This window comes from Homo sapiens, chromosome 19 (genome assembly GCF_000001405.40).
Source record: "Homo sapiens chromosome 19, GRCh38.p14 Primary Assembly".
Classification (NCBI taxonomy): Eukaryota; Metazoa; Chordata; class Mammalia; order Primates; family Hominidae; genus Homo; species Homo sapiens.
This window is the reverse complement of record NC_000019.10, coordinates 42017021-42043546: the sequence shown is the minus strand read 5'-3', so window position 1 is coordinate 42043546 and position 26526 is coordinate 42017021. Positions and strand designations below refer to the sequence as shown.

The following is a 26526-nucleotide window of genomic DNA, read 5'->3' as shown; positions in this document are numbered from 1 at the left end:
TAATCCAAGCTACTTGGCGGGGGTGAGGCAGGAGAATCGCTTAAACCCAGGAGGTGGAGGTTGCAGTGAGTTGAGATCGCGCCACTGCACTCCAGCCTGGGTGACAGAGCAAGACTCTGTCTCAAAAAAAAAAAAAAAAAAAAAAAATTGCACCATCTGTCATCTTCAGCCTGCCTCCCTCATGGGGAATTGGACTGGAGCTAAACCCTGGTGAGGGAATACCATCTTTAACCCATTAGTGGCTCATGAAGTTGGTTTGGTGAGTCATTACCAGCCATGTGGAAAGATGAAGTATAGCAGAATAGAAAATATCAGTGTATTGCCCATAGTTACTAGGGCAAGGACTGTTCTGTGGAATTAAGTCTAGTTACGTGTGTTCATGTGTGGGTGAATTAGGTTGCAGGGTAAAATGTATCTTTTACTGTGAATTGTAATAAGAAATCTGAAAGCCCCTGATCCACTTTGGCACAAGATCTATCCAGTCTGACTCTAAAGTTACCTCCTCCCTCATACGCATTTGAGCTTGGCACCAATGAGCATCAGGTTGGCTGCTGAAGATTAAAATGGCTCCCTGCAATCTGCTAGGAACTGGCAGTACCCATGTGTTTTTCCCTGGCTTTCAGGTCTATTCCCCACTCTGAGCATTTGTAAGTGAGAAATGTGTACTATGAATAAATCAACCGTGCTCAGCAAGCAGATTCCTGCTCTACCTGCCTGGTCCGGGCTCCAGGATCCGCAACCCAGCCACTAGACACCCAGCCTCTGACCCCTGCTTTCTTCTGCCCACCCAGGAGAACCCATACGTCATGCGCCGGCCCAACTTCCAGGCCCTGTCGGGGAACGAACGCTTCGAGGGCTTCTGCGTGGACATGCTGCGGGAGCTGGCCGAGCTGCTGCGCTTCCGCTACCGCCTGCGGTTGGTGGAGGATGGGCTGTACGGGGCGCCCGAGCCCAACGGCTCCTGGACGGGCATGGTTGGCGAGCTCATCAACCGGGTATGGCTGGACTGGGGCCGGGAAAGATGCATGGACCCGGCGAGTGAGGGAGGGCGGGCAGCTGGGCAGCCAGTCGAACCTCAGAAGCAGCCTGGCTGGTGGCAGAAGAGGAAGGAGCCATGAAGGGCCCCTGACACCACCTCACTGATGTTGCGCTGTATGCCTGTGCCTGGCGGGTGCTGTGGGATGGGACAGAGGAGGAGAGGTGGTACATGCATCACCACCTGTGTCCTGCTTTGCCAAATGCCCCTTTCATGCCACCTTGGATTAGTCGGTGTGCAAAGATTTGTTAAGTGAATGAAAGAGACATGGAGTGGGGAGCAGGAAAAGGTCTGAGGAGGTCAAAGGCTTCCTGCAGGAGGCAGGGCTGAGAGCAGGGAGCACACCTCACCTGTGTGCTATGCCCAGCACCTGCTAGGGAGGGCCTGGCACATCATGGACCTGGAGGGCTGCATGTAGAACTCATACATTCACCCATTCAGTGGCTGTTTATTGAGTACCTACTATGTGCCTTGCCTCTTGCTGGGCATGGGATCCCACTGTGAGCACAGTGGATCTGGACCCTGCCCCCAAGAGCTTAGAGTCTCTTTGGGGCGCAAGACAGTGAATGACCACAGCACAGAGCTGTCTGGGCTGTGATTGGGGAGCTCAGAGGACGGTCCCAGAGGAGGTTCCTGACCCAGTCAGATATCCCAGTAGGGCTTCCCAGAAGAGACGATACCCAAACTGATTCCCAAAGGTCATGAAGGAGTTAGCAAGGTGAAGGGGGTGTGGGAGAAGGGGAGTGTATTTGGAGCAGGGGAAATAGCATCTACAAAGATGGGGCGATACTAGGGAGTGGGATGCACTGGAGGAACCAGCGGGGCCTGAGCGTGGGCAGAATTTGGTTGCAGCTGAGGAGGGATGGAAGGCAGGGCCATGGGAGGTGGCAGGCAAGGGTGCAGTGGAAAGGATCTTTGGGTGTCAGACACTCCTAGATTTGAATCCTTAAGTGTCATTTCTCTCCTCTGAACCTCAGTTTTCCCCTCCCTAAGATGGGGATAATAATACCTTGCAGGTCTATAGTGAGGGTTACGGGACGTGGGGACAAGTACCTCACACATCGCTTGGCAGATACTGGGGGACTGAAATGTAGTTCCTCTTTTTATTCCAGGTGGGAGAAACTATGGGCACAACTGCCCAGAGGCAGGACTGTGCCCTGGGAGATAAGTAGGCCCCTGATTAGGACACTCCCAGAGCTGGTGTGCAGACCAAGGGGCTGTGGCCAGAGATGGCCAGGGCAGCCTTGACGTTAGACTTGACAGAGCTCATCAGAGATTCTCACCCTCCTCTCTCTCATGCCAGAATTTACAGCATCCAACCCCCTGAACATCACGAGGGAAGACATGAGAGGGCCACTTTGCTTGACAAGGACGTTTATCCCTTAGGGCACTGACTTTCAAAAGTTATTTTGACAGAACTTTTTTTCCAATTGCAAACTCCCTCAGAACCCTGGGCAAGAGCAGAGCTGCTCTGGTGAAGGCAGAGATGGGGGTGCCTCCCACCCCACCCCACAGGCAGGTCCCAAGGCGCTGCCCCATAAAGCTGCCAGCTGGTTTGAAAACTTCTGCCCCAGGGTGAGTTTTAAGGTCAGGGTGAATTTTATTATTATTATTATTTTATTTATTTATTTATTTATTTTGGAGACAGAGTCTCCTCTGTTGCCCAGGCTGGAGTGCAATGGCACGATCTCTGCTCACAGCAACCTCTGCCTCCCTGCAACCTCCACCTCCCGGGTTCAAGCGATTCTCCTGCCTCGGCCTTCCGAGTAGCTGGGATTACAGGTGCGCCACCGTGCCTGGCTGATTTTTGTATTTTTTGGAGCAACAGGTTTCATCATGTTGGCCAGGCTGGTCTTGAACTCCTGGCCTCAAGTGATCCGCCCACCTCACCTCCCAAAGTGCTAGGATTACAAGTATGAGACACCACACCCAGCCCAGGGTGAATTTTAAAGCCTGAAGCCCAAAGAGGCCCCGGGTGAGACAGGAGATGAGAAGCCCCAGAGCTGACAGCTCTATGCCCACCTGAGGGCACAGGCTTCCTCGTGACCTGTTTCCACAGCCTGGTCTTTAGTCACGTAGGCTCAGAAATATTCTTTCATCTGGTATCCCAGAAATAAGCAGGCTCCAAGGGAGTAGCCCTGCACCTGAAGTCACTCTAAACTGGATGCCCTTTTTTCACCAACAGAGAAGTCTGGAACAGTTCTTATTTACAGCTGTCTGACCTTTGTGTCTCAGGGCCTACTCAGTAGGGTAGGGTGAGAGGATTTGGGGCCTGGGGCCAGCAAAGTGTGGCAGCTGAGAGTGTCTGTGGTTGGCTGTTTAAAGCTTAGCTCTGCTGTGCACTGGTTGTGTGGCTTTGGGCAAGTGCTTAACATTTCTTTAGGTTGTAGTTTGTTCAACTGTAAAATTGGGGAATAACAGCCCTTTAGCACATAGGGTTGTTTTGAAGAACAACATGCAGTGAAGAACTTAGAACAGGGCCTGGTGCATAGTGGGTGCTGTATGCGTGTGTCCTTTTTTTTTTTTCCTTTGAGACTGGGTCTCTCTCTGTTGCCCAGGCTGGAGCGCAGTAGTGCAATCACAGCTCACTGCAGCCTCCACCTCCTGGGCTCAAGCGATCCTCCCACCTCAGCCTCCCGAGTTGCTGGGACTATAGGCATATGCCATAATGCCTAGGTAATTTTTGTGTTTTTTGTAGAGATGGGGTCTGGCCCTGTTGCCTAGGCTGGTCTTGAACTCCTGGGCTTAAGCAATCCTCCCACCTCAGCCTTCCAAAGTGCTGGGATTATACTATTTTTATTATTGTTATTATTCATACCAGCATGGCCAGCACATACATAGATTTGTGTGTTCATCCATTTTCCATTCAGCCAATGTTTGTTGAGTGCCTACTGTATACCAAGCCCTGTGCTATACCCTGGGGATACCATGGTGAACAAGCCCGATGTGCTCTTACTGAGTGGGCTAAAGGGTTTGGGCCTCAGCAGAAAGCCCATGGGATGCCCTTGAAGAGTTTTGTTTTTGTTTTTGTTTTGAGACGGACTCTGGCTCTGCTGCCCAGGCAGGCTGGAGTGCCATGGGGTGATCTTGGCTCACTGCAACCTCTGCCTCGTGGGTTCAAATGATTCTCCTGCCTCAGCCTCCTGAGTAGCTGGGACTACAGGCGCATGCCACCACACCTGGCTAATTTTTGTATTTTTAGTAGAGATGGGTTTCGCCATGTTGGCCAGGCTGGTCTCAAACTCCTGAACTCAGGTGATCCACCTGCCTCAGCCTCCCAGAGTGCTGGGATTACAGGCATGAGCCACCATGCCCGGCCACCCTTGAAGGGTTTTGATCTGGCTCAAGTGAATTGGCCCTGGGGTTGGGGGAAGCAGTGGTAACAGGAAGACCAGTGAGGAGATAAGGAATGAGCTGGTGGGCCTCAGGCGGGAGAACGTCAGAGCTAGAGACTAGGGGAAGGGCTAAAGAGCACCAGGGCTTGGTGACTGCCTAGGGTGGGGGATGCAGGAGAGGACAGGAGGGAGAGCATTCCTCCTGTGTCTGGCTTGGGCATCTGGGTGATGGCAATGACATTTACAGGGAGAACACTGGAGGAGGAGCTGGAGCGTGAAGGATAGGCGGAGTTTGGCCTTGCCCTGCTGTGGGATAGCCGAGTGTGCCGAGCTGCACAGGAATAGTCACCACCGTCATCACAACAGCAGCAGCTGTCATTTGTTGATTTCACACCATGTGCGAGGAACTTTTCAAGTGTTACTTAACATAATTTTCATAGCAGTCCTTCATGGCCTGAGGATCACTGCCCAGTGTGAGATCTGGAGTCCCCAGTGCACAGGGCTGCAGCCAGGTGTGTCTGACTTAAGGCCCGTGCCCTTTCCAGCCCTCCAGCTGGGAACTTGGGAAGCTCGGAGTACACTGATGGAGTGGCACGCTGTGCCAGGCCCTTGTCTGAGCTTTCTGACTTGTCTCCATCCTTGACTCCTCATGGCCACCCAGTGAGAGAGGGACTGGTATTAGCCCCGTTTTCTCAAATGTACAGTGAGGCATCAAGGTTTCATGTCCAGGCCCATGGCTAGTGACCAGGAGAGCCAAGGTGGGCACCCCATCAGGGTGGCCCAGAGCTGGTGAGTGACTTCCAGATGGAAGACAGCCTGGGGCACCACCATCCTGCCAGTCACCCCTGGGCCAGGCACAGGTCTCCTTGGCCTGTCTTGAATTATGACCCATTTTTTCCACCCAGTGGCCATGGCTGACATTGGCCTTCTCCCTGCCATCACTGCCATGGTGTGAATTCAGGTCCCACCCCTCTCATCAGCCTCCTTACTGGCCTCCTGGCTTCTAGTCTCTCCACTCCCCAGCTTGTCCTCCAATAGAACCTTTCTACAGTGTGAGTCTGATCTGTCACTTGTATGCTTTAACTGAAGCCCCTGAGGCCCTCAGGATAAAGCTTAGCCTTCAAGGGCAAAGAAGATCTTAGGTCAGGGTCCCAGGAAGCTGACTCTGAGATGGAGATGTAGAGGCAGGAGGTGTGATGGCGTGCCCCTGGAAACCTGCCCTGTGCAGGAGGGAAGGAAGCAGGCTTGGGCAGAGGAGTTGAGCTGCGCTGCAGTCACAACTGGGCCTTAGCTGTCCCACAGGCAGCTCTGGAGCTGAGCTGGCCGTCAAGGACCTCCCCCTGTGGTAAGGGTGCCAGGCCTTTAAGCACCCACTGATATGTCACTGGACGTGGGCTGCTCTTGGGGAGAGTCAGGACTTTGGGTGAGGGGACGCTCTTCTACTGACAGAGCTGAGAGCCATCAGCCACCTACACCCTGGGCAGCTGAGGCAATGAGTGCCCCACTCCTGAAACAGAGTCTGGGTAGCCACCATGGAGTCCACTATAGCAGTGCACTGGTTAGGAGCCAGAAGGAGCCAGCTTCAGGTCCCCAGTGCTCCCACATGATCCCTGCAAAGCCACTTATCTCTGAAGGTCAGTCACTCCTCTTGAAAAGGGGCTAATGTTACCTCCCTCACAGAGGGTTTTTTTGTTTGTTTGTTTTTGTTTTTCTTTTTGAGGCAGAGTCTCACTCTGTCGCCCAGGCTGGAGTGCAGTGGCGTGATCTCGGCTCACTGCAACCTCTGCCTCCAGGGTTCAAGCGATTTTCCTGCCTCAGCCTCCTAAGTAGCTGGGATTATAGGAATGCACCACAATGCCCGGCTATTTTTGTATTTTTAGTGGAGACGGGGTTTCGCCATGTTGGCCAGGCTGGTCTCGAACTCCTGACCTCAAGTGAGCTGTCCGCCTTGGCCTCCCAAAGTGCTAGGATTACAGGCATGAGCCACTGCACCCAGCCAGTGAGTTTTAAGGCAATTAAATGAGAGCGCATTTGCACAGAGCCTGGCACATGCCTGGCTCACATGTGGTCACTACTGCTAGATACCTTTCTTGAGGCGGTCTGTATGTGAGTGTAGTTAGAAGAATGGGTTTTGGAGTCGGCTAACCCTGGGTTCAAATCTGGACTTACTCCTTACTGGCTTTGTGACCTGCAGGCAGGTGGCTGCCCCCTCTGAGCCTTAGTGTCTCCTCAAATGGGGAGTGGTGACCCCCTAACTTGGAGGGGTATCACAGGGGACAGATGAGATCAGCACAGGTCATAGATGCTGGCATGACCAAGACAATACCCACCCACCTCACCTGTGGCCTCCACACCCTGGGGATGGGAGCCTTGTCTACTTAGCTATGTCCCCAGCTCAGGGCCTGACACATGGCAGGTTTCTAGTAAATTAGTGTTGAATGGGCAATTGACTGATTCTATCAAGGAGTCTTTAGAAATGTTGTCCCCAGTTCTCTTCATCTGATAGAAGACGCACACACACGCCAGGCATGGTGGCTTACGCCTGTAATCCCAGTACTTTGGGAGGCCGAAGTGGGAGGATCACTTGAGCCCAGGAGTTCAAGACCAACCTTGGCAACATGGTGAAACCCTATCTCTACAAAAATTGAAAAAATTTAGCCAAGTGTGGTGGCATGTGCCTGTAGTCCCAGCCACTCAGGAGGCTGGGAGGTGGGAGGATCACCTGAGTCTGGGAGGTTGAGGCTGCAGTGAGCCATGATTGCACCACTGCACTCCAGCCTGGGCGACAGAGTGAGACCCTGTTTTAAAAAAATAGGCTGGGCACAGTGGCTCACATCTGTAATCCCAGCACTTTGGGAGGCCAAGGCGAGCAGATCACCTGAGGTCAGGAGTTCGAGACCAGCCCCGCCAACATGGTGAAACCCCATCTCTACTAAAAGTACAAAAAAATTAGCCAGGCGTAGTGGTGTGCACCTGTAATCCCAGCTACTCAGGAGGCTGAGGCAGGAGAATCGCTTGAACCTGGGAGGCGAAGGTTACAGTGAGCCGAGATTGCGCCACTGCATTCCAGCCTGGGCGACAAGAGTGAGACTCTGTCTCAAAAATAAAAATAAATAAATAAATAAATAAAGTCCATTTCATTAAAAAATTTTACATTATACTGTGTTTCCGGTTATAAAACATATTTGTATTAAGTATAATCCTATTTTGCACAACAATAGCAAGTATATATGCATTAAAAAGCATTTTTGCATACCATCAGAAATTTTCATAAGCAATTATTTGAGAAGGAACTCCTTTATTTTCTGTTTATATATGTAATACTAAATGATAAAATACCAAATGGTACAAATAGCAGAAACACTGGATATACATGATGTTCTTACACCTCAGAGACCATATTCCTCCAACTCATTTTCTACAAATTCATTAATACAGGTACATCTTTAAATTTCTTAATTTTTTTGAGACAGAGTCTGGCTCTGTTCCCCAGGCTGGCGTGCAGTGGCACGATCTTGGCTCACTGCAACCTCCACCTCCCAGGTTCAAGCAATTCTTCTGCCTCAGCCTCCCAAGTAGCTGGGATTACAGGCGCCCACCACCATGCCAGGCTAATTTTTTTGTATTGTTTAGTAGAGATGGGGATTTCACCATGTAGGCCAGGCTGGTCTCGACTCCTGACCTCAGGTGATCTGCTCACCTCGGCCTCCCAAGGTGCTGGGATTAAAGGCGTAAGCCACCATGCCCAGCCTAAATTTCTTAAATTTTTATTTTTGCAAAAATGATATCTTACTATACTTACTGCTGTGTAGTTTGCTTTTTTTACTTGTAACTTGGCCATCTTCCCACGTTAGTACACATAGATCTGCCTCATCTTTAAAAACAGCTACGTTTAGGCCAGGCGCAGTGACTCACGCCTATAATCCCAGCACTTTGGGAGGCCGAGGTGGGCGGATCACCTGAGGTTGGGAATTCGAGACCAGCCTGACCAACATGGAGAAACCCCATCTCTACTGAAAATACAAAAAAATTAGCTGGATGTGGTGGCGCATGCCTGTAATCCCAGCTACTCAGGGGGCTGAGGCAGGAGAATTGCTTGAACCTGGGAGGCAGAGGTTGTGGTGAGCCGAGATGGTGCCATTGCACTCCAGCCTGGGCAACAAGAGCGAAACGAAAACAAAAACAAACCAGCTACATTTAGTCATTCACTTACTGAATAACTACTGAGCAACTATTCTGCACCCACTGCATCCTGGCCACTAGGGGGCAGCAATGTAATGAGCAGAGGTGCTCCTTGTCCCCTCCTTCCCGCCCCCCGCCCCAACTGCTGATGTTCTAGTGGGGGAAACTGACAGCGTATGATATATTAATATCGTGTTAGGTGAAGCAAGGTAAGGAGATAAAAGTGTCTGGTGCGTGGATGCTGTTTTAGACAAGGTGGTTGGATAACGTTTGAGAAGAGACCTAAAAGGGGTGGGGAATACAGTCCTGAGAAGAGCCACCAGGGAGGGTTTTATGAGGGCAGAAGTTTGACTATTTTCCTTACTTCTGCATCCCCAGCGCCTAGAACCATCTGACACCCAGCTGGTGCGCAGCAAATAATTGCCAAGTGAAAGGATGGATCTGGGGAAGAGTGTTTTCCAAGTAGAGAGCCCATATGTATAAAGACTTGAGGGGAAAAGTGTGGTTGAGGGGAAAAAGTGAGGGGCAGAGAGATCCGAGAGCAGGGCCCACATCCCAGGGCCTCACAGTCACTGCTAAGGAGTGTGGCTGTTATTTTTTATTATTATTTTTTAGTTTTTGAAACAGGGTCTTGCTCTGTCACCGAGGCTGGAGTGCAGTGGTGCAATGCAGTGGTGCCATCTTGGCTCACTGCAACCTCAACCTCCCAGGCTCAAGCAATCCTCCCACCTCAGCTTTCCCAGTAGCTGGGATTACAGGCACGCTCCATCACGCCTGGCTGGTTTTTGTATTTTTGTAGAGGCAGAGTTTTGCCATGTTGGCCAGGCTGGTCTTGAACTCCTCGGCTCAAGCAATCTACCTGCCTCGACCTCCTGAAGTGCTGAGATTACAGGTGTAAGCCACCATGCCTGGCCTTGGCTGTTATTTTTATCGTGCTGCAGAGCCACTGGAAGGTTTTAAGCAAGGAATGTGCCATGATATTTTATTTTATTTTGAGACAGAGTCTCACTGTGTAGCCCAGGCTGGAGTGCAGTGGCACGACCACGGCTCACTGCGACCTCCACCTCCTGGGTTCAAACAATTCCTGTGCCTCAGCCACCCAAATAGCTGGAATTACAGGCGCACACCACCATGCCTGGCTAATTTTTATATTTTTAATAGAGACGGCGTTTTGCCTTGTTTCCATGCTGGTCTTGAACTCCTTGCCTCAAATGATCCATCTCCCTTGGCCCCCCAAAAGTGCTGGGATTACAAGCATTAGCCACCGTGCCCAGCCTGATCAATTTTTTTTCTCTTTTTTACTGAGGTGAAATTTATGTCACATAAAAATAACCACTTTAAGGAGTGCAATTCAGTGGCATTTAGTACATTCACAGTGTTGTGTAATCACTATTGCTATCTAGCTCCAAAACGTTTTCATAACCTCCCATAAAACTCATACCCATTAAGCAGTCGCTCCCCACTCCCTCCCCGCTACCCCAACCCCTGGCAACCACCCATCTTTCTGTCTCCATGGGTTTACCTATTGCAAATATTTCACATAAATGGAATCATCCAATATGCGGTCTTTGTGTATGGCTTCTTTCACTTTGCATGATGTTTCCAACTTTTCAAAGTTCATCCACATCATGGCATATACCAGTACTGCATTCCGTTTTTTTTTTTTTTTTTTTTTTGAGACGGAGTCTTGCTTTCTCGCCCAGGCTGGAGTGCAGTGGCATGATCTCGGTTCACTGCAGCCTCCACCTCATGAGTTCAAGCAGTTCTCCTGCCTCAGCCTCCTGAGTAACTGGGACTACGGGCACACGCCACCACACCCGGCTAATTTTTGTATTTTTAGTAGAGACAGGCTTTCACCATGTTGGCCAGGATGGTCTTGATCTCCTGACCACGTGATCCACCCGCTTCAGCCTCCCAGAGTGCTGGGATTACAGGCGTGAGCCACTGCGCCTGGCCTGCATTCCTTTTTATGGCTGAATAATATTCCATTGTATGCATAGGCCAGCAGGATCTAATTTTTAAATCATTTAAAAATGATTGCACTGGCTGCTGTCTTGAGGAACACCTTAGTGGGACAAGAGTAGAAACTGAATGGTCCATTTAGGAGGCTGTTGGAGGGTGTGGATGAGAGAAGATGTTGCCTTGGTTTGAGTGGCAGCTGTGTCAGGTGTGCAGCCAGCTTGGATGTGCATAAGAGGAAGAGAGGAATCGGGGTGACTATGGGGTTTGGCCAGGGCAGCTGGCGAATGGCGAGGCCAGTTTCCACTATAAGGAGGACATGGGAGGAGCAGTTTGCTGGGGCCGGGAAACAAGAGTTTTCTCTGGTCACGGATCATTTGAGATGCCTGCTTAAAATTCAAGTGAGGATATAAGGATTCCATTGTGTGGCTCAGCATGAATTATTTACCATATCCCCTATTGATGGCTATTTGGATGGCTTCCAGCTTTGCTAGCATAGCCAGTGTCATGATAAACTTGGCCTGTGGATTTGTGGGAGTGTTCCTGAGGGATACATTCCAAGAAGTGAAAGTGCTGGGTCAAAGGGTATAAATTTTTTCTAAGTGTATACTGCCAAATGGCTGTTCAAAAAGGCTTCGCCAATTTATATTCCTACCAAAGTGCATGAGAATGTGAAATTTCCCATACTCTTGCCAACAGTCAGTGTTACCAATCTCTAAAATAAAATCTTTGCCCATCTCAAAGGCCAAATATAATATCATTGTTTTAACCTAAACAGAATGTTACTTGGCTGCATAGTAGTAATTCCATGTGGATGTACCATAATTTATTTAGCCATTTTTCATAACTAGTTGTTTCCAGGTGTTTTTATTGTTTGTGCTCTTATAAATAATCATTAACAAACATCTTTTTTTTATTTTTGAGATTGGCGTCTCACTTAGTTGCCTAGGTTGGAGTGCTGTGGTGCCATCACAGCTCACTGCAGCCTCAACCTCCCCAGGCTCAGGTGCTCCTTCCACCTCAGCCTCCTGAGTAGCTGGGACTACAGGTGTGCACCACCATGCCTGGCTAATTGTTTTGTATTTTGTTGCCCAGGCTGGTCTTGAGTCCCTGGGCTCAAGTGGTTCACCCATTTTGGCCTCCCAAAGTGTTACGATTACAGGCATGGGTTGTTGCACCTGGCCAACAAGCATCTTTATGCACAAAAGCTTTGCCTGCATTGCAGCCTATTTTCTTAGGATTGGTTCTCTGAACAGAATAACTGGGTGGAAGAAGAATACCCTTTTTGTGGCTTTCGTGATATTTTGTTGAATTATTTTCCAGAAAGACTACAACAGTTTCTATATAGGCTCCTTCTCAGCATTGAGTGTTTTTATCGGCTTTTAGCTACTTAGACAACTCCCTGTCATTTTCATGGATGGCATATCATTTTGATTTTTCCTGCTTTGACTGGTAGACCACACAGTGGGACTTATGTGGTCAAGTGATTGGTGGAATCTGAGCCCAGGTTAACTCAGAAGGGGCCTGATGGGGCCATGGTCCCACCCTGTGTTTTCCCAGTTCTTGGTTGTATAACTGGAATAGACACACATGGTAGCTGGCAGAATCCCACGTTGGCGCACTGACCCATGGAGTCAGGGCCATTATGGTAGAAAGAGCCACGTGGAAGCTCCTAGAACTCCCTGTCTTTCCCAGAATAGTAATTCAAAAGCAATTCTCTATCCTTTGTGCAAATTGTGGAAATTAGTGTCACCATTAACGGCTTGGAAGAAGCAGGGGTAGTGATCCCATCTACATTCAGCTGGCCTGTTTGGCCTGTACAGAAGGCAGATGGATTTTGGAAGAATGACTTTGGATTATTGTCAACGTGATCAGGGGTGACTCCAATTGCAGTTGCTGTCCCAAATGAAGTTTCTCTATTGGAGCAAGTCAGCACAGCCCTTGGCAGCTGGTGTGAGCTACTAACCTGGCAGATGCTTTTTTCTCCATACCAATTTCCAAGGGCTACCAGAAGGCAAGGTTCACATCTTCACAGTCTTGCTCAGTGTGACATCAACTTTCCCACTTTCTGTCCTGATTTAGGCTGCAAAGAACTTGAACTCTACAGTCCACATAGCCTCACACTGGTCCCCTACATTGACAACAGTATGCTGATCAGATCTGATGAGCAGGAAGTAGTTGAGTCAGTGCAGTTGGCATTAAACCTGGCAGATGGCAGTCTGGCAGGGTCCAGTCTGGCAGGGTCCAGTCTGGATACAAAACAGCGCCGGTTGCCAGATGCAGTGGCTAATGCCTGTAATCCCAGCACTTTGGAAGGCTAAGGCAGGAGGATTGCTTGAGCTCAGGAGTTCAAGACCAGCCTCAGCAACATAGCAGGACCTTGTCTCTACTAAACATTAAAAAAAAAAAAAATTAGCTGGGCATGGCACATGCCTATAGTCACAGTTACTCGGAAGGCTGAGGTGGGAGGATCACTTGAGCCTGGGAGTTCGAGACTACAGTGAGCTATGATCACGCTGCTGGACTCCAGCCTGGGTGACAGGGCAAGACCCTGTCTGAAAAACAAAAACAAAACCCTGGCTGGGCACGGTGGCTCGCGCCTCTAATACCAGCACTTTGGGAGGCTGAGGTGGGTGGATCACCTGGCCAACACAGTGAAACCCCATCTCTACTAAAAATACAAAAATTAGCCAGACTCAGCGGCACGCACCTTTAATCCCAGCTACTCAGGAAGCTGAGGCACAAGAATCGCTTGAACCCAGGAGGCAGAGGTTGCAGTGAGCCAAGATCGTGCCACTGCACTCCAGCCTGGGCGACAGCGAGACTCTGTCACAAAAACAAAAACAAAAATAAAAACAAAACAAAACCCAGCTCCATTTACTTGAATAGAATCATATCAGTTATTTGAATAGAGAGTATTTAGTATAAAGAATTGTTAACTAAATGTAAAGTTGTTAACCAGCTAACTTAAGGGGTAAAAAGAAAACTAAGAGGTCATGGCAGTAGCAACGGCAGAAAGCAGCTACCACACTTAGTCCTTAAGGGACAAGTAGAAGAGTTTGAAAGATGAAAACTTAGAAGCTTAGAGGAGGGCCCCACAGAGCTGAGACAGACTGCTGAGGAGGGGGTGCTGTTTGGTTGATGATGTGACATTTGGTGGACTTTTTGGATTTTGGTGGCAACTCATACCACATTGGGATGTGCTACTTCAATCCATTTACTTTCCCTACAGCCCGTAAGGCTTTTTTCATCTGGAGTGAGGTCCAGAGCATCAAAGACTCTGCAGCCAGTCCAGGCTGCATGCGAGCTGATCTGCCACCTGGGCCAGATGTAACCAGCAGATCGGGAGATTCATTCGCAAAGTATTGATGGCAAATAGGAATGCTGTATGGAGCCTTGAGCAAGCACCAGTGGCTAGCTCATGGTGCAGACCTCTAGGGTTTTTTTGTTTGTTTTGAGACGAAGTCTCACTCTTGTCCCCCAGGCTGGAGTGCAGTGGCGCGATCTCGGCTCACTGCAACCTCAGCCTCCCAAGTAGCTGGGATTACACAGGCGCCTGCCACCAAGCCTGGCTAATTTTTGTATTTTTAGTAGAGACGGGGTTTCACCATGTTGGCTAGGCTGGTCTCAAACACCTATGCTCAGTTAATTCTTAAAAGTTTTTGTAGCAGCCAGGCTCGGTGGCTCACGCCTGTAATCCCAGCACTGTGGGAGGCTGAGGAGGGCGGATCACGAGGTCAAGAGATCGAGACCATCCTGGCCAACATGGTGAAACGCCGTCTCTACTAAAAATACAAAAATTAGCTGGGCATGGTGGCACACGCCTGTAGTTCCAGCTACTTGGAAGGGTGAGGCAGGAGAATTGCTTGAACCCAGGAGGCGGAGGTTGCAGTGAGCTGAGATTGCGCCACTGCACTCTAGCCCAGCTACAGAGCAAGACTCTGTCTCAAAAAAAAAATTTTTTTTTGTAGAGATGGGGTCTCACTGTGTTGCCCAGGCTAGTCTTGAATTCCTGGGCTCAAGCAATCCTCCTTCTTTGGCTTCTCAAAGTGCTGAGATTATAGACATGGGCCACTGCACTGACCTAGCCAGCTTTTTCTGGCCAAGAGTGTAAGTATTTTCAGCTTTAAGGCCTTACTGTCATAACTCCTTAGCTCTTCTGTTGTATGGAAAGTAGTCATGGACAATATAGTGGGCATCACTGTGTTCCAATAAAACTTTATGTACAAAGGCAGGCAGATGGGCTGGACTTGGCCCAAGGGCCATAGCTTTCCCACCCCTCACTCTCAGGTGTCATGGAGGTATCATGGCAGGAAGTGGCCACATCCCTAGTTCTGAAGGAAGAAAGGGAAGAGCTGAAACTCTTGGAAACTTAGAGGAAGGGCTCTGTGGAGCTGAAAGTCAGACCCTGGGGAGAGGTGCTTACAGCTGGTGCTGGGTTCTGGAGAGAGGCTGGATGAGATGGGTTTGTAGATATTGGGAAGCTGCACACCGGATTCATCTGCTGCCAGGAGAAGAAACGATGCTGCCAGGAGGGGCAGAAGGTGGCTGGGGTGGGAGAGGAGACAGGAAGGAGCAATCCCTCTTCCCTCCTCAGTCTGGCAACCTCCCGCTAGCGCCCCCTATTGGCAGAGCCTGGCAGGGCGCAGCAGGCAAAGCAGGAATATGGTTTACACAGAACAGGGTATACAGGATGGGTTGGGAGCTGAGGGACTATCACAAGTGCTTTGATTGGCTTTGGGCATTTAGATGACACCCCCCCCCCATCATTACAGGTGACTTGTCATTCAAATTCTTCCTGATTTCATTTCAGAGATTAAATAACTGTGAGGGGGCCCGTCAGGGTAGGGGCTAGAGGGTATATGTCAGGGTGGGGAAGTCATCTCTAAGGAATAGGTCTTTTACCATGCATGGTGGCTTACGCCTGTAATCCTAGCACTTTGGGAAGCCAAGGTGGGAGGATTGCTTGAGCCAAGGAGTTCAAGACCAGCCTGGGCAACATAGTAAGACCCCCGTCTCTACAAAAAATGAAAAAATTAGCCAGGCGAGGTGGCACACACCTATAGTCCCAGCTACTCAGGAGGTTGAGGTATAGGAGAATCGCTTGAGCCCAAGAGTTTGAGGCTGCAGTGAGCCATTTTCACACCACTAAACTCCAGCCTGGGTGACAGAGCAAAACCCTGTCTCAAAAACAAAAACAAATAAATAAGCCTTTCTTTTAGAAATGAAAAGTGAGTAGGAGGAGGGAAGGGGGCTCCAAAGGCTCTGGGAGGAGCCTAGGAAGAACTTGCAGCATTTAGGATCCTTCCATCACACCTTCAGATGAGACCCAAATCTCACTGTCTCTCTCCACCACCAGTGCTGCCACTCAGTCCTGCCCCCAGCACTGTGATGGGCATCTGCAGTTGGCTCCCTGGTTCCCACATCCACTCTTGTGCCTGTGGTCTGATAATGTCACCCTCTGTTCACACCTTCCTATATGACATCCTCATGCAATGTCCTCCATTGCCCAAGGTGCAGAATCCAGTTACCTTACTGTGGCCCGCAAGGCCCTGCCAGGCTCTTGGCCCCACTCTGCTGCCTTCCCAGGCCCTCCTATTCTGCTCCAGCCTTGCTGGATGCTGCAAGTCTCTTCCCACCTTAGGGACTGAACCCGCTGATCACTCAGCCTGGAACCTTCCCCCTAGGTCTTCTCCTGCCTTTTCTGTACTTCCTTCATGTTGCTATTCAAATAAGACCCCCCTTGCAACAGTGGGGAGCAGATCCAAAACAGCATCTCCCTCGAGTCTCTCTCTTGCTGCCTGCTTGATTTTTCATCACAGCACTTGTCACTACCTGACGTTGTATGTTTCTATTCACCGCCGTATCCCCAAAGCTAGAATTGTGCTGGGCTAGTGGAGGGCGCTATACAAATATTTGTCAGGCAGGTAAATAAATGAAAGAATGAACAAATGGAAAGGGCAGTGTGGCTGCAATGTGGGACACAGGGCAAGATGGTAGGGGATGAGGCTGTGGGGGTTGGATGGTGCGGGACGTTTTGGGGCCAGGTGTAAGACAGAGTCTCATAAGGGGAACAGGCATGGCACATAGTCTTATTGAGGTGATAGGTGTAGTTAGGGCCTCATTGGGTCGGGTGAGGCATTTGGATGACAGTTTAAGAACAAGGTGGCTGGGTGCAGTGGCTCATGTCTGTAATCCCAGCACTTTGGGAGGCTGAGGCAGGTGGATCACCTGAGGTCAGGAGTTCAAGACCAGCCTGGGCAACATGGCGAAACCCCTTCTCTACTAAAATACAAAAATTAGCTGGGCATGGTGGCATTCACCTGTAATCCCAGCTACTCGGGAGGCTGAGGCAGGATAATTGCTTGAGCCCGGGAGGTGGAGGTTGCACTGAGCCATGATTGCACCACTGCACTCCAGCCTGGGTGACAAGTGAGACTCCGTCTCCAAAAATAATGATAATAATAATAATAATAAATAGGGCCGGGTGCGGTGGCTCATGCCTGTAATCCCAGCACTTTGGGAGGCTGAGGCAGGCGGATTACCTGAGGTCAGGAGTTCGAGATTAACCTGGCCAACGTGGTGAAACCCCATCTCTACTAAAAAAATATTAGACAGGTGTGGTGGCATCTGCCTGTAGTCCCAGCTACTCGGGAGACTGAGGCAGGAGAATTGCTGAAACCCAGGAGGCAGAGGTTGAGCTACAGAGCAAGACTTGGTCTAAAAAATAATAATAATAATAAAAAGAACAAGGCGCTGTGTCTCATGCCTGTAATCCAAGCACTTTGGGAGGCTGAGGCAGGAGGATCACTTGAGCCCAGCAGTTCGAGACCAGCCTGGGGAACATAGCCAGACCCTGGTCTTTCTAAGAAATAAACAAAATTAGTCAGGCGTAGTGGCTCGCACCTGTGGTCCCAGCTACTCAGGAGGCTGAGGTGGGAGGATCACTTGAGGAGTTCAAGGCTGCAGTGACTTATGATTGCACCACTGTGTTCCAGCCTAGTTAACAAAGCAAGACACTGTCTCTAAAAAGAAAAATACAAACAAGCAGAGTCATTGCAGAATTTATTTATTTATTTTTAGTTTTAGTAGAGATGGGGTCTTGCTACATTACCCTGGCTGATCTTGAACTTTTGGCTCAAGCAATCCTCCTGACGGCCTCTCAAAGTGCTGGGTTAACAGGCATAAGCCACTGTGCCCAGCCCGTTGCAGAATCTAAGCAGGAAAATACTGTGACCAGACTGTCATATGTTGGTATCTCTGGGGCTGCAGGCTGTGTGTCCTGGGAGGCAGAGACCAGCTATTCAGTCAGAGATGGTGGCCTGGGCGGGTGTGGGCAGTGGAGGCAGAGGGCAGTGACTCCGTTCCGGAGGTGTTTAGGGGTCAAAATCAGGAGGCTTGAGGATGGATGCAGTGAGGGGTGAGGGAGAGGCTGTGTACAGGACAACCCCCATGTTTCTGTCTGGGATGGTGCTGGCTGGAAGACTGGATGTGGAGCAGTGTCAGGGAGAGGTGGAGGCTGCTGCCGCCGCCATATTGGCCAGAGGTTCAAGGACTCACTGACTCCTCCCATCAGTCAGCCCTCATTTCTTGAACTCCCTGGGATCCAGGGAGGAGTCACTCACCTGGGCCAGACCTCAGACACCCCCAGCCATGGAGCGACCAGGGCAGCAGGCAGATAAAGCCCCTAGGAGGGGAGTGGTTCCGAATCCAAGGGTCAACTGTGGCAAGAGGCTTAGTCTCTGTGCCTCAGTTTCCTCATGCGTAGAATGGTAGAAATGGAGGTCCCTCTGCATTGGGTTGCTCTGGGGACCAGTCTACTCTGGGGAAAACCCTGGGACAGTGGCTGCATGGGGTAAGTGCTGTGTGCATGCAAGCGTCTGACTGCGTGAGGTTTCATTGTGGCACCAGGGAAGAAGAGGTCTCTGCATCTGGGAGGGCCCCAGAGGAAGCAGCAACATTCCTGGGTTTCAGCGGAGGAGGATGGGACATGAGACACAGCAGATCCTGCTCTAAGCTGGCCCCTGAGCAGTGCCAGAAACACATGACATGTCCAGCTGGCCTTGCTTCTGAAACGCCTGTGGTTTAGCAGCAGAGGCAGAGAAGAGACAGATATTTTCCAAATTGAGCAAGTTGTTGAGATCAAGTGGTGTCCAGGGAGTGGGGGTCCATGAATGGCTTCCCAGAGGAGTGAAGGTGTGAGGAGCCCTGGAGGGATGGATGGGATCCAGCTCTACAGAGTGGACAGGCGCCTCAGGCGTAGCCAGAAAGAAGCTGGCACGAGAGAGAGGGGTGGCGAGTGGCCCAGGAATGCGGTGGGGGAGCCGTCGGCTGCCTGGAATGCCAGTCAGAGAGGCTGTACTCGGTCAAACCCGAGCAGGATCTGTTGGGAACCTGCTCTCTGCGGGCTCTGGGCTGCCTCACTGAGCCAGACAGGCAAGGAACCTGTATGGAGTGAAGACAGCCTATTACCAAGCACCTGAGTAAGGCCATCTCCAGTCGTGCTAAGAACAGGACAATGAGGCCAGGCGCGGTGGCTCACGCCTGTAATCCCAACACTTTGGGAGGCTGAGGTGGGCAGGTCACCTGAGGTCAGGAGTTCAAGACCAGCCTAACCAATATGGTGAAACCCCGTCTCTACAAAAAATACAAAAATCAGCCGGGCATGGTGGCATGCCCCTGTAATCCCAGCTACTCGGGAGGCTGAGGCAGGAGAATTGCTTGAACCCAGGAGGCAGAAGTTGCAGTGACCTGAGATTGCACCAGTGCACTCCAGCCTGGGTGACAGAGTGAGACTCCATCTCAAAAAAAAAAAAAAAAGGGCCAATGGGGAATGTGAGAGAGACCCTAGAGTGGGAGTGAGGTGGGGTCTGGAGGCTGCTTTGGGGAGGGCTGAAGGGGTGGGTGTGATGGGAGCCTGGAACGGGGAAGAAGAGCTTGGGGGAGAGCATGTGCAAAGGCTCTGAGGCGGGCATGAGCCTGCTGCATTGAGGAAAGAACGGGCCATCATGGCTGGAGCACAGCTGGCAAGACAGAAGATATGAGGGGAGGCTGGCAGGGCAGCTGAGCCCTAGGTCGCCAGGGCCTCTTGGCCATGAGAAGGTTTTGTCTTAAGTGCTGGGGGAAGCCATGGCAGGTTTTAAACAGGAGACTGTCCTCTTGGCTTATATGTGAGGAATGGACTGGGAGGTTATGAGTGGCGGCAGGGGGCGCCGATGAGGCGGCCAGTGCTGTAGTCAGGAGTGAGATACCAGTGGCCCAGGCCCGGGTGGTGGAGTTGTAGAGAAATGGACAGATCTGAGGAGTGTTTCGGGAGCAGAGCCCCTGTCCTTGCCCAGCCCAGCAAGAGGCAGGTGTCTGGCCCGAGGCATGGCCCCAGGAATGAGTGAGGAGAAGGCCAGTGTGGGAACAAAGGATGGGGGCCCTTAGGCTTTCAGGAGGAAGTGGGGTCTTGAGCTCCTGGCCCCAGGACTGGAGCCCACCTGAAAGGCCATTGCTTCCTCCTCTCTGAAATGAGGATGTGGCCACCATGCAGGGCCTTGCTAGGACAGACCCCCAGTGGGTGCTTAAAATAATTGGAGTCCTATATTAGCTGTGATGATTTCCACGACAATTCACGTATTAGTCATAAAAGTGGCAAGTGTACAACAAAGGGGATGGAAGCTCCCTATGCTCAACACCCAGGAATTCCCAGAGAGATTCTCCGAATCCACATTCTGGGCCCCTGCCACACTGCCGCCTCTGGATGATGCTTCAGGGCTGTGCTGTCTCACTCTGCTCCTCGGTTTTATCGAGGCTGGTGCCATCTCTCCCGTACCCGGCTTTAGCTGTTTAGCCTGCGCCATCTCCCTCTCTGCTTGGGGTCATCTTTGGGGTCTGTGTCCTTTCTCCCCGACCCTGGATTTCACAGTGGGCCTGTCTGCTCTCTCTTTGACCGTGGATTTTGTTTTCAGCCTGTGCCACCTCTCTCTACCTGGTGGTTATCATTTGTGCCTGTGCCATCTCTCACCAACCTTGGGTTTGTATCTGGGTCCTGTGCCATCTATTTCTGATTCCAGCTGAAGTTTTGGGCCTGGGCCATCCCTCCTTCATCCAGGGTTGTGCTTTGGTACCAGTGTCGTCTCCTGACCAGGATGCTGTTTGGGGCTTGTGCCCTATCTCCCTGACTATACACTGGGCCGGGGCCTGGGTTATGTCTCCACTGGCTGTGGGCACATGCTGACCTGCACCCTTCCTCCCCACCCGGGGTCATTTCTGGGCCCTGCCTCCTCTCTCCCTGCTCTGTGTTCTGTCCGGGCCTGTATTATCTCGAGTGCTGTCAGTCTCAGCCCCTTCAGGACCTTGGCTCTTTTATGGCCCTAGGGAGAAGTTGCTGCTTGAATTGGAGTTTGGGGAACCCCTCCATCCCCAGCCCTTGATGCTGGGACACAGTTGAGGCCTAGGGGACGGAGTCAGTGTGTCTGGAGACGTGAGATGATGAGGATGGACATGCGATGAGGGTCCGATTTCAGGCCCAAGGTGGGCTCCTGGAGTCAGTCCATGCTCCTGGCCCCTCCCCCTCCCTACCTCTCTCTCTCTCGCCTCCCTCAGTTGCTCACTCTCCGTGCATTTCTCTCTAACTGTCCACTTCTGTCTTCCCCTCTGTCCCCCTCCACCCCTGCCCGGCTTCCCCTCCAGCAGAAGGCAGACCTGGCTGTGGCCGCCTTCACCATCACAGCTGAGCGGGAGAAGGTCATCGACTTTTCCAAGCCCTTTATGACCCTGGGGATCAGCATCCTCTACCGAGTGCACATGGTATGGTTCCCCTGGAGACCATGGGCTGCTTGCCTGGCATGGAGGCTCAGGGCCTGCGAGTGGGAGCCAGACAGCCCCAGGACCTCAGATGGGCCGGTCAGGCTCCCAGGTCCCTGGTAGGGCAGGGGCTGGGTGTGAGGCTCAGGCCAGGGGTGTCTCCGGGTCTCACTCCCTCTCCCCACAGGGCCGCAAGCCTGGCTACTTCTCCTTCCTGGACCCCTTCTCCCCTGCTGTGTGGCTCTTCATGCTTCTTGCCTACCTGGCTGTCAGCTGCGTCCTGTTTCTGGCTGCCAGGTGAGTCCACTGCCTACTGGGAAGGAAGGGGCTGGAGGAGGCACGAGCCGAGGCCTCTGGGACCGACCTGCCTCTTCTCTCTCGGAACTGTCCTTGGCCTCCCCTTTGGGGCCTCGGATTCCCTGTGCCCTCCTTTCTCAGTTTTGTGCCCTGTGTCTGAGTCTCATTCTTCCCCTTGTGGCTCTGACTGTGCTCTGTGGTTCTCTGTTCAGGTCTCTCCCCTTCCCGCCTCTCCCTTTTTTGCCTCCTCCCTTCTCTATTTCTCTCTGAGTATCTCTGTGTCTCTCTCTGCCTCTTCTGTCTCCATCTCTGTGCATCTCTCTCTGCCTTTTCTCTGTGTGCTTCTGTCCATCTTGCTCCTTTTTCCATCTCTCCCCCTTTCTTCTGATCACTGTGACTTTCCTTTGCTTCTTTCCTTTTCCTCCCCACCTGGGCTCTGGGCCCCATCCACACGCTGCACGTCTCTCCACAGGCTGAGCCCCTATGAGTGGTATAACCCACACCCATGCCTGCGGGCACGCCCCCACATCCTGGAGAACCAGTACACGCTGGGCAACAGCCTGTGGTTTCCCGTGGGGGGCTTCATGCAGCAGGGCTCGGAGATCATGCCCCGGGCGCTGTCCACGCGCTGTGTCAGCGGAGTCTGGTGAGAAGCTTTCTATCTGCCTCTGCCCGGGGCGAGGGAGGGACCCATCTGAGGCCTGGATGGGGTTGGGGCTGTGGCATCTCCTGGAAGATTTGATTCCCCGTTTTCCCTTGCAGAGCTGTGTGACGAGGAATGGGGTGGGGAGAGCTGAGCTCCAGCTCTGCCGCTTACTGGCTATGTGAGCTTGGCCAGACCGCAACCCTCCCTTTGCCTCAGTGACCTCCCTGAAAGATGGGGAGAAAGATGCCCATGTCTCAGGGTTGTGAGGATTCAGTGAGGCTGCTAAGGAATAAAAGAATGGCTACTCCAATTGCTTGAACTCAGGAGGCGGAGGTTGTAGTGAGCTGAGAACTCCCCACTGCACTCCAGCCTGGGCAACAGAGCAAGACTCTGTCTCAATAAATAAATAAATAAAAGAATGACTACTCCAAAGACAGAGCAGCCCTGAGGGCTGCTGGTTGCCCATTTTTATGGTTATTTCTTGATGACATGCTAAACAAGGGGTGGATTATTCATGCCTCCCCCTTTTAGACCATATAGGTTAACTTCCTGACGTTGCCATGGCATTTGTAAACTGTCATGGCGCTGGTGGGAGTGTAGCAGTGAGGATGACTGGAGGTCACTCTTGTGGCCGTCTTAGTTTTGGTGGGTTTTAGCTGGCTTCTTTACTGCAACCCCTTTTATCAGCAAGGTCTTTATGACCTGTATCTTGTGCCAACCTCCTATCTCATCCTGTGACTTAGAATGCCTTAAACGTCTGGGAATGCAGCCCAGTAGGTTTCAGCCTCATTTTACCCAGCTCCTATTCAAGATGGAGTTGCTCTGGTTCACACGCCTCTAACAATTTCACAGATGCCTGTTGAGCCTGTCCATGTGCCAGGCACTCAGGTGAGGAATCAGCCCCATTCCTGTCCTGGAGAGGCAGAGGAGCTGAGAATAAACAAGTAAACAGATAAATCAACACTGGACATCCTATTTTATTCAAAGAATAGGTCCCAAAGATATTATTTAATTTGTGCCTTTTTCAAGTCAAGACTAACCTTAATAGGTGGCAGGTTTTTCCCTTCTCCTAACTAAGTAGAACTAACTGTGGTATGGCAGGCATTAGCAATTCACTTGGTCCACTGGCTTGGACACTTGCGAGTCTTGATGGCTTTTTTAAATGGTTTTGGATGGGTATCATTTCAAATTATAACCCTGTAGAGGATTGTTTGAGCCTGGGATGTTGAGGCTACAGTGAGCTGTGATCGTGCCACGGCACTCCAGCCTGGATGACAGAGTGAGACTGTCTCAAATGAAAAAAAAAAAAAAAACCCCCAAAAAAACCCAATGAAAGCTCTGTTTGTTTCCTATTGCTACTGCAAAAAGTTACCACAAATTTGGTAGCTTAAAACAATACACATTATCCTATAGTTCTGGAGGTCAGAAGTCTGAAATAGATCTCAATGGCGTAAAATCAAGTTCCTGGCAGGGCTAGTTCCTTCTGGAGGCTCCAGGGGGAGAATCTGTTTCCTTACCTTTTCCAGCATTTAGAAGCCACTTGCATTCCTTGGTTTGTGGCCCCTTCCTCCATCTTCAGAACCAGCAGCATAGGATCCACAAATCTCTCTCTCTAACTTCCTTCTTCCACTCCTAAGGACCCTTGTGATTCCTTTGGGCCTTCCTGGATAATCCAGAGTAATCCCCCCATATCCAGATCCTTAACTTAATCACAGCTGCAAAGTCTCTTTTGCTGAGTAAGGTCACATCTTCATGTGTTCTGGGGATTAGGATAGAGACTTCTTTGGTGCTGGTGGGCGGGGCCTATTCTGCCGGCCACACAGTCCAAGTGAAATGTACTAATATTTTCCATATAATGATGTTGCAGATGCACATAAAATGTGCTATTGAGGAACCAAACAGGATACAGTAAGAGAACAGTAGAGCATGGGGGCAGTCAGAGAAGGGTCCCCTGAGGAGGTGAACTGGGTTGAGTCCTAAAGGCAGAAACAGAGTCGTCCATGCCAAGGAGAGGGAGGAGCATTTTAGACAGAGGGAGAGGGCCAGGTGTGTGAGGTGCTGGGAGGGCGCCTAGGAGACCTGCCATGACAAATCTAGTGGCGTCCTCACAGGAGGGTTGGGGGAGACCAGTGCCCTCATCTCTGCTGGCCACTGTTTCTGCCGCCCAGCCAGGGGCCCTCTTCCTGAGAGTCACACTCTCTAGCCAGCTGTTTTCTGCCCCTTCCCATCGCTGTCACCCAGACAGCCCCCACTCATGTTCCCTCCCTCATCGGAGCCTTTGGCCCTGGGGCCCACTCTCTTCTGCACCCAAAGTCCTCCCACACATTCACTCATTCAGCAGATGTTTGAGAATCTTCAGATGTGACTTAGCACCATGATTCAGCAGGCCAGTCCCCGCCCTCGTGGGACTCAGGGTCCAGTGTAGGGGGTGAGATTTGGTGCCATCACCCTCGAGGACTTGCCTGGTAGCTGATCTGCAGCAGCCTGGCCACAGCCCACTACCTGGGCCCCTCCTCTCCAGGGCCCCCTCAGCCCACAGCCTCCTGCAGCCACACCTGAGGGCTTGTCACTATTCAGGACAGCTCTGCCTCAGGAGTTAACGTTTCTTTTCCTCCCCCCCCCCCCCCCCCCCGCTTTTTTTTGAGACAGAGTCTTGCTTTGTTGCTCAGGCTGGAGTGCTGTGGCACGATCTCAGCTCACTGCAATCTCCACCTCCCGGGATCAAGTGATTCTCCTGCCACAGCCTCCCAAGTAGCTGGGATTACAGGCGTGCACCACCTTGCTTCACTAATTTTTGTATTTTTAGTAAAGATGGGGTGTTGCCGTGTTGGCCAGGATGATCTCTAACTCCTGACCTTAAGTGATCCACTCACCTGGGTCGGCCTCCCAAAGTGCTGGGATTACAGGTGTGAGCCACGGCACCTGGCTGAGAAGCAACATTTCTTTATTTCTTTTCTTTTCTTTTCTTTTTTTTTTTGAGACAGAGTCTCGCTCTGTCGCCCAGCGTGGAGTGTGGTGGTGCGATCCCGGCTCACTGCAAGCTCCACCTCCCGGGTCCACACCATTCTCCTGCCTCAGCTTCCCGAGTAGCTGGGACTACAGGCGCCCAACACCATGCCTGGCTGATTTTTTTTTTTTTTTTTTTTTTTTTAGTAGAGATGGGGTTTCACCATGTTAGCCAGGGTGGTCTCGATCTCCTGACTTCGTGATCCACCCGCCTTGGCCTCCCAAAGTGCAGGGATTACAGGCGTGAGCCACCACGCCCAGCCGGGAGTCAGTATTTCTAAGGTTTCACTCTGACCATGGCCCCCATCCCTCCCAACTCTCCCTTGGTCACTTGGTGCGATGAGTCCTCTGACCTCCCTGTTTCCATTCTCTGAGCCCTTCCTGCTTTCACTCGTCCATCTCCAGGTGGCTCCTAGGCTGTCTCTGCAGCCATTGTCCTCAACTTTTCCCTAGGTCCTCCTTTCCTCACGCCCTCCTGGCCAGAAAACCACAAAACCTCAGATCTAGCCAGTAGCTTGGCTTTGCCTGCCTTCCCCCAACCCCAGCTGCACCAGGCGCACATGCGACCCCTTATCCATGCCTCCAGCCTCTGTCTTACCTCCAGGCAGCATTCGCCCGGTTAGCCACCCTTCTAGAAACTCTCTTCTTGCTTCTAGGCTCTGTGTCCTCCTGGTTTCCTCCAACCTCTCTGGTCCTGTTTCATTTGCTGTGGGTTCCTTTTGCCTTTGCCACCCCTCAAATGGGGCTTCTCACTCACACTAGTGAGTTTTCAGTGCTTGCAGACCCAACACCCTCTTTTTATAACAAATATTTTTTAATACGTCCTTTTCCACACTGAGCTGAAATTCAAGGGTAATATATCTTCCTACACACATAATTTGTAAAAAATCAATTTAACGCCATAATTGCAATATGAAGGGGAAAAAGCAGGGAAGTGACTTCCAATAAAATAATATTATGGCAATACACAAATGCCTGGGTGTGGCTATGCCAGAAGACAGAATGCGACAGTCGGCGCCTGCTTAGAATGAGTAAGTGGCATGATGAGAAGTAAGATCATTTAACAGAATTATGTTGCCACTTGATATCTGACACATCGAAATAGTTGACAAATGAGTATGTTTGTGCAAATACAAGTCACTGTGAACGTGATGATTTGCTAATGCAGCTGGTGCAAGGGTCTTGACTTGGGTCTTGAGTTCGAGTGGAGTTGCTGTCAGAGACAGATGATTTCCCCCAACGGTGAGCAGCTCTCAGCAAAGTTCCAAACAAAA

At 51.1% G+C, this 26526-nt stretch overlaps 1 protein-coding gene across 10 annotated transcripts in view, besides 6 other annotated features; it reads left to right on the top strand.

Annotated features, from left to right (window-relative positions):
• The window catches only part of GRIK5 (glutamate ionotropic receptor kainate type subunit 5), a 71883-nt gene that overhangs the window by 26660 nt on the left and 18697 nt on the right, over positions 1–26526 (top strand). For 3 of the 10 annotated variants that reach the window (XM_011526862.3, XM_011526865.2, XM_047438705.1), the window contains 4 exons: positions 792–995; positions 21190–21306; positions 21491–21600; positions 22073–22246. In XM_011526862.3, the coding sequence (XP_011525164.1) occupies positions 792–995; positions 21190–21306; positions 21491–21600; positions 22073–22246 (605 nt within the window). Of the gene's footprint in view, positions 1–791; positions 996–4618; positions 5428–20874; positions 20963–21189; positions 21307–21490; positions 21601–22072; positions 22247–22362; positions 22679–26526 lie in introns of those variants that run through there. The other 7 variants (NM_002088.5, NM_001301030.2, XM_047438706.1 and 4 more) reach the window with 6 other exon arrangements.
• Positions 7759–8258: an enhancer, noted in NCBI's record as "H3K27ac hESC enhancer chr19:42539441-42539940 (GRCh37/hg19 assembly coordinates)". NCBI's record gives its function as "activates a minimal SCP1, AML or CMV promoter by ChIP-STARR-seq in naive H9 embryonic stem cells {active_cell/tissue: H9 hESC(naive)}" and the evidence as "EXISTENCE:reporter gene assay evidence [ECO:0000049][PMID:30033119]".
• Positions 8456–8750: an enhancer, noted in NCBI's record as "tiled region #4104; K562 Activating DNase matched - State 4:PromP, and HepG2 Activating non-DNase unmatched - State 12:CtcfO". NCBI's record gives its function as "activates a minimal TATA promoter and a strong SV40 promoter by Sharpr-MPRA in K562 cells, with weaker activation in HepG2 cells {active_cell/tissue: HepG2 | K562}" and the evidence as "EXISTENCE:reporter gene assay evidence [ECO:0000049][PMID:27701403]".
• Positions 8456–8790: a biological region, named in NCBI's record as "Sharpr-MPRA regulatory regions 411/7488 and 4104".
• Positions 8476–8525: an enhancer, noted in NCBI's record as "active region_14696". NCBI's record gives its function as "activates an Ori minimal core promoter by ATAC-STARR-seq in GM12878 lymphoblastoid cells {active_cell/tissue: GM12878}" and the evidence as "EXISTENCE:reporter gene assay evidence [ECO:0000049][PMID:35858748]".
• Positions 8496–8790: an enhancer, noted in NCBI's record as "tiled regions #411 and #7488 (exact overlaps); K562 Activating DNase unmatched - State 4:PromP, and HepG2 Activating non-DNase unmatched - State 12:CtcfO". NCBI's record gives its function as "activates a minimal TATA promoter and a strong SV40 promoter by Sharpr-MPRA in K562 cells, with weaker activation in HepG2 cells {active_cell/tissue: HepG2 | K562}" and the evidence as "EXISTENCE:reporter gene assay evidence [ECO:0000049][PMID:27701403]".
• Positions 10793–11565: an enhancer, noted in NCBI's record as "OCT4-NANOG-H3K27ac hESC enhancer chr19:42536134-42536906 (GRCh37/hg19 assembly coordinates)". NCBI's record gives its function as "activates a minimal SCP1, AML or CMV promoter by ChIP-STARR-seq in naive H9 embryonic stem cells {active_cell/tissue: H9 hESC(naive)}" and the evidence as "EXISTENCE:reporter gene assay evidence [ECO:0000049][PMID:30033119]".